Source organism: Homo sapiens, chromosome 7, assembly GCF_000001405.40.
Source record: "Homo sapiens chromosome 7, GRCh38.p14 Primary Assembly".
In the NCBI taxonomy this organism is placed as follows: domain Eukaryota; kingdom Metazoa; phylum Chordata; class Mammalia; order Primates; family Hominidae; genus Homo; species Homo sapiens.
The window spans coordinates 52,016,486-52,023,286 of record NC_000007.14 but is presented as its reverse complement, the minus strand read 5'-3'; the positions used below and the strand labels follow the sequence as shown (position 1 = coordinate 52,023,286).

At 38.1% G+C, this 6,801-nt stretch overlaps 1 long non-coding RNA gene across 1 annotated transcript; it reads left to right on the top strand.

The window, feature by feature from the left end:
• Positions 1 to 958: 958 nt before the first annotated feature.
• LOC107986738 (uncharacterized) lies at positions 959 to 6,582 on the top strand. The gene is made up of 2 exons (XR_001745018.2): positions 959 to 1,019; positions 6,354 to 6,582. It is a non-coding gene; the product is annotated as an uncharacterized LOC107986738 (long non-coding RNA).
• The last annotated feature ends 219 nt before the right edge of the window (positions 6,583 to 6,801 follow it).

Genomic DNA, 6,801 nt, shown 5'->3' with positions numbered 1-6,801 from the left:
ACCATGCCCAGCTAATTTTCGTATTTTTGTAGAGACGGGGTTTCACCATGTTGGCCAGGGTGGCCTCCATCTCTTGACCTTGTGGATCTGCCCACTTTGGCTTCCCAAAGTGCTGGGATTACGGGTGTGAGCCACCGCACTTGGCCTTATTTTTCTACTTACCTTCTTATTTTCTGATAGAAGTGTGGACTCATGGATTCTTATTTATTTAACAGGTAATACTCAATTAAAATTATTTTATTTTGATATGCAAATTGCCCCAACATTGTCCAGTGGGAGCCCCTTAAATCCCTTTATGGGGTGGGGTGTGTGTGTATTGTCGTGTTCTTTTATTCACTAAACATCTCCCTTACTTTCTGGCACAAAGAGATGTTGCACACTCATCCTCTACTTCATTACGCTAGTGCTGGCACCAGCCATCTTTCTAAAGAATCCTGATTTCTTTGGGTGAAGATGGGCATTTAGTTTGCTAATTATTACTAGGATGTCATTCTCCCAGCCTTTCTCAGAGGACAGAGCTAAATATATATATATATATATTCACTTAGAGAGATGGAGATAGATAGTTTAGATAGATATAGATAGTTACAGCCATATATATTCACACGTAGACAGATATATTGTTAAAACTAGATGTCATTATATGTATGCATATCCATTGATCTACATAAATATATCTGTACTTATATATGACAATATATATCTGCCTATATATATTTATACAAAAATCTATATCCATATTTACCTGTCTATTTATATGAAACTGTGAGTTCTTGGTGCCTTTGACTTTACCACAACAGTACAGGATTCATTTTAGCCTTTCCTTATTTGTAACTTTCACCTTTGACAGTGAGAAACCTGATTCCCATTATCCACAATACATTTACTTCTTATTTGTTCAGTATTAGAACACACAAATAGTAATTTTAGATTTGCCATTTTTCTCTTTGTTTTAGGCTGAGAACATAGAGTCCCAATACTGTGTACAAATGTTACTTGGATTAGTTGTTGCTAATAAAGTAAGTACATTTGTTTCTGTTTTAAGTTGGCATTTTTCCCCATCTCTGTTGATTGTGTGTGAGAGTGTGTGTGTGTGTGTGTGTGTGTAATATGAAACATTAATACGTCTCCAAATGTCAACTATTCAAGAAAGACTACTCAGAGAAGTGACCCTCCCTCCATCCTGCTTACACTCTTTCCAGTCCACCATTTTTCTTCCCATCCCAACCATTCATTGTGGACATTTCCAATTATTAAAAAATGAGACATAGAAATTATATTCTATGTGTAAAATTGTATCCTATTTATCATTGTAAATAACGTCCTAGTTCAGCTTCTCCAGAAGTATGGCTTGAGTTAAGGGCATTGTCCACACTAGTTATTCAGGATGTGTTCCAGGAGGCCTAGAGGGAGCAAGGCAGAAACCAGGACAAAGTCAAGTAGATGGGGATTTCGGAGGAAGTGATATTCTGAGTGTCTGTGGCTGAATCACTGCAGTTGTCCAAGGGTGGTCCTCTTCAGGTTCAATTGGTTAGGAGTTAAGAAACCAGAAGGAGAAGCCCTGGTACCCCGACCAGGAAAGAGGAACTAGATGAAGCAAGAAATCCTCTGCTCCAACATGGTTAACAAAATGCAGTCACTGAGCTTAACTGAAGGGTTAGCCAAACGAAAATAGGAAGACAAGCATGAGGATATTGACAGGGCCATGAATTAGACTAACGTGCCTGCAATCTCTCCTCACACATTTGTGACATCAGAGCCTCAAGGTCATCCCTAACCTTTCTAGCAACAGATAAAGAAATAAATTTAGTATATCAATTAAGGATGACCATAAGTTAAAATATAGGCAAATATTGAAGAACTAAGACTCCTCTTAGTAGTAAGATTGAACAGGAATTTCATCAGACTGACTTCATGAGTATTACTCTGTGAAATACTCTGAGCAATTTCATTCACAACATACACTCTCTAAAAGCAGCTGCTTTGACTGCGACCTTCAGTTCGGGTGTGTTTTTATACTACAGCAGAATTCAGTAAAAGTTGTAAAACACATACATTTCTTAAGGCCCTTTTTTTCTTATTGTCCTTATAATTGCTAAGTTGTTTTCCTAATTATTGAACTACAATTCCTTCTTTGATACCAGAAATGGAGTTTCTCTTTCTTGGAAGGCTCTCCTATCAGGGATATGGGACTAAAGGCAGAACCAAAATGACAAATTGGTGTGAAATACTGTTCCAAATGGCTCAAGGGCCTCTCTCTGTCTCTGTCTCTATCTCTCTTTATCTTTTTCTTTCTCTCATCTCTATCTCACTATTTCTATACCTATTTATACATAACTATATCTCTATTTATCTATCCATTTATATTAACCTATGAGTTGATATTGGTATCTTTGGCTTCCACACAACACAGGATTGCAAAGACCTACCAGGTGCTGGGGAGTCTCCAGTTCCAATATGTTTCAAAATTACAGAAAATGAGGGTTCACATAGGAGATTTTCTCCTGACCTCCCAGGACATATCAGGGAGGCTGCATGAAGGTGTGTGTGCCACGTGGCAGGAGGCACTTTGACACACTGGACTAGATTAGCAGGACAGCGTCCCAATAGGAAATAGTTCTGAAACCGAGTCATATATGGCAGTTGAAGAAATATAAAATAATTACATGTACTGGTGTTTACAATCTCTGTAGGGGAATCTACAGAGTAAAAGTTAAAGCAATTTATGGGAGTTAAAGAGACACTTAAATTGTGAGGACAAACTTTAAACAAATAAAGTGACTCCAAAAAGAATAGAAACATCATGGGGAAAATTTACATCCAATGCATGTTTCAACTAGATGCTGATTATAGTCCATATTTTCATCAACCAGGCTTTCAAGTCCTTTCAAACTGCCCGATATTATGGTTTTAGAAAACTATCTTTAATAGAGTTTGTCTTTGGGAACAAAAGGAAGTAACTTTACAATCTGTGAGAGTCTGAAAAAGTTACTGAACTTCTCTAACCCCAGTAAGGTTATCTATAAAATTTGAATAGGACTTTTGTCTTGATTTCCAATTGGTGATATTGAAGTAAGATGCTCTGCACAGTTTACAAAAAATGGGCATGACACATGGTAGGTAAGCAATAAATGGGAATCTTTCTTCCTCTCAGCCAAAGTTGCAGAATTTGTGCCAAGATCCATTTGGATAATAAATTCAAAGTATGTAGTAAGAAATATGGTAATACCATGAAAATTATACTTTCCTACATAAGACTTCATGATTTCTTAAAAAGCCACCAAACAAAAGTCAAAATTTTGGATTCGGTTCCCATCCTCGCCCATTGCATATGTGGCACAATTATTGTCTCTGTAACTCCATTATTCCCTCATTTCACAACACTGAAAACATCCTCATTTACCTTTTATGGTTATTGTGAAAATCAAATGATAAAAATGCACACTATCAGCTATAAAATAATATAAAAACAGTAGGTGATGGTAATATCAATGTCATGTGATTATAGTCGTAAAAGTGTAAGTGTGGTACAAAGCTGAAATGCTAGACCCAGGGCAGAATAGTGTATTTCTTTTCTTGAGTAGTTTCCTTATTTCAATTAGTGGAAAAAATTTCTGTGGATAAGAGTATGACACAGGAACAATTTTCAGATTTGAATGTTTTTGGTAATTATCACCTATAGAGTCACCTCCATGGCCCTTAACACTCCACACCTGGGTCACAGATGGCAAAGCCTCTTGGCATTGACAGTGTTCTTGAGTGAGGATGGAGAGCAGCCGCTTTCACAGGGCGTGGAAACAAGCCTCTAACCACACACAATTCTTACCCAACCTTTCCTACTCTTCCTGAGAGCATTCATTTTTTAAAAAAACTCCCAACGCTGCATCCATTAGGTAGAATAGGATAATTGAAGGGGCTCCCAAGACTTCACAGGACGAACTCACGTAAAGCTTCAATTACAATACGGGATATAGCATGGTTAGAGGAGAATCCTCAGGAAAGCATTGTGTATCTAAAAGCACTACAAGCACCCCCGAACCCCAGGGTCCTTTCTCAGTGCCACAGAATGCACCTCAGGGTGACCATCTCCTCTGCCTCCTGGGGGTTCCCTGTCTTAGCACTTGAAGTTCCATATTCTAGGAATCTCTTGAGTCCGGTAACCCAGGATGGTTAGTCACTCCAGATGAGCTTCGTCTTCAGCTTAGGAACCATCAAGATACATGTGATGAACTGTGGTTTCAGGGAATTCCAGGCAAAAGGTCCCATAAGATCTGCATTCCACTGGTTTTGCAGCAGGGTCAGTCTGGGTAACCTGGTGCGCCCAGGAGTAAACCACCCAGAATGGAAGTATTTGTTAAAAAACATATAGACATGTAAGCTTGGGTGTCTCCAGGGAACTTTCAAACTTTAAACAGCATATTATAGTTCACTAGTGAGCCCACCTCATTTCTGTTTTGGACAAGCGTCAAGATCAGATGTCCAGGCATCCCAGAAGAAAGCATAGAGCTATCCTGTCCAGCTGTAAGACTACCTTATCTTTTGCACTATTAAATTCTTCTCGGTATCCAAGGAATTTAGAGTTGTAGAGAGACCAGCACAATCAGCCAGTGGTGGGCAAGACTCTAACTTGGAATCCCCGAGATGCCGCCCCCTGGTGTTCATCAGCATAATTGCCTCCCCTTGAATGTGGGCAGAGCAGGTGAACATGATGCAATTTTACTCCCGTGGTTGGGATACTAACTTTGAATTCATCAAAAGGAGATTCTTCTGGTTGGGCCTGACTTTGTTAGGGAGCCATTTCAAAACCTGTGAAAGGACAGAAAGCTGCTGTCCTACTGGCTTTAGAAGAAAGCTAGCCGCCAGGCTGTGAGAGGAGGAGGCCACACACAGAGACCTCCCGGCAGCCTCTGAAAGTGAAAGCAGTCCCTGGAAGCTGAAAGTCCAGCATTTGGCCTTTACACTCTGAAATCTCAAAGACGCCATCAACTTTCAGAGATAAATGTCGTTACTCTTTAAACCCCAGATACTCAGTCTTGGTGCTCAAAAGTGAGTTTTTTAATGAATAAGAAGTAGCCAAACTGCTGGAAATGAATTTCAATAGATCACTCAGTGGACTATAGAAAAGATTGAGGGTGATGCAACACTCTGAAAAGGTCATGATCTTTAAGCCTTATCTAAAGACATCACAGGCACATGAAGAGGATTAAAATCACATTGAAAGCATTGTTTACCCATAGCTAATGACCAAATGGAATTTCATTTCTTTTGTTATTACAGCTATTTTCTAAGCGAATGGACATGTACTTTGGTAAATGGGTTTAACCTTTCACAGATAGAAAAAATAAGAGGATTTTCATTTAATCTCTCTTCTACAAAGCTAATGCTGAAATGAAACTCCTCCAGCCATTGTATTTTTGTACAATGCATTATATAACTTTACAATACTTAAAATTTTAGTCATATGTATACAAAGGAGATCATTAGCATACCTAATATCCCTAAAATGATACAGGTCAAAGTTACTATTGTGTACATGGCAATGACGTATATTTCTCTGACAAAGAGTCACTATTTCTTCGCCTATTAAAGTTGGAATTGTCAAATATTTAATTTTTCATGCTAAATTTAATTTTATCAAGAACATGATTATTGTAGGCATACATATTTAACATCACTTTCTAAAATGGCATATAATCAAACTCCAGTCTTGTTAAAAATTCACAAAAATAGAACTACCTAATACTACTTGAGGTCTTAGTTCAAAGAATCAGAGAATAGAAGGAAGGTAAGAAGGTAAAAAAATATATATTCTACCTCCCTTCTGTTTTTAGTGGAACAACCCCTATGCTACCTTTTTCATTCCATTATTGTAAGAATTCTCCTGAAATTTTCTTCCTTCCTTTCCACTCTCCTCATTCATTCATCTCTTCCTCTTTCTAAGCCACCTCGACTACTGATTCCTCCCTTCATACATCATCTCCCCTTTCTTTGACTCTAATTCACGTCCTTCTTTTAAAATAAAATAAAGTTAACCATCACCTTATTTTGATTTATGTACAAGTCTCTCTTATGTAGTCTGTGAGGAAAATAACAATAAAAAGAAATTCCCCTAACAAAGCTATTCCATGTAGCCTTTCATCGCATCTGCCTCTTTCACCTGGAAGAAAGGCCGGTGCTTCATGTCTAACTAGGCAACAGTACCATCCTATCTGAATAAAATCAGATTTCCAACAATAACAATGAAAACAACGTGACTGGGCCTATTACAATTTGATGCTTTGCAGTATCGTCAATCAATTTGTCAGCACCAGTAAGACCGCCTAGCCTTAGCTGGCTCTATTTTTCCATCCCAGGCATGCACTGCTGCCCGTCCTTATATAGAAGGCTATCATCGCAGATAATGACTACCAAGGTAATTGGACCTGTCACACCTTGCAGCCTGGTTTCCAGCTTATGGGAGAAAGGTTTGCATCCCAGAGCTGAAGAAATGGGTTCGCGTTCAATGAGATGAAGCCATTTTGAAAAGGTTGTCCACGTAATATATCTCTTATAATAAACCCAACTTCTGTCTTTTCCACTGGGCTCATGTTTCTATGATTTTTTTTAATACTGCCTATTTTGCTTTTGGTTGAAGGATTGGAATCTGTTTAATTTTTTATTAAGTGTAAGGAAGTAGAAGGTAAAACCGTTGTTTAATGTGTATCATTATAAACTTTTAACAAGTTTGCAAAATATTATCTTTGTTCATAATTATTTCAACATAGGATCTTTTATCTTCTGTTTCAAAACACAAGGAATCTA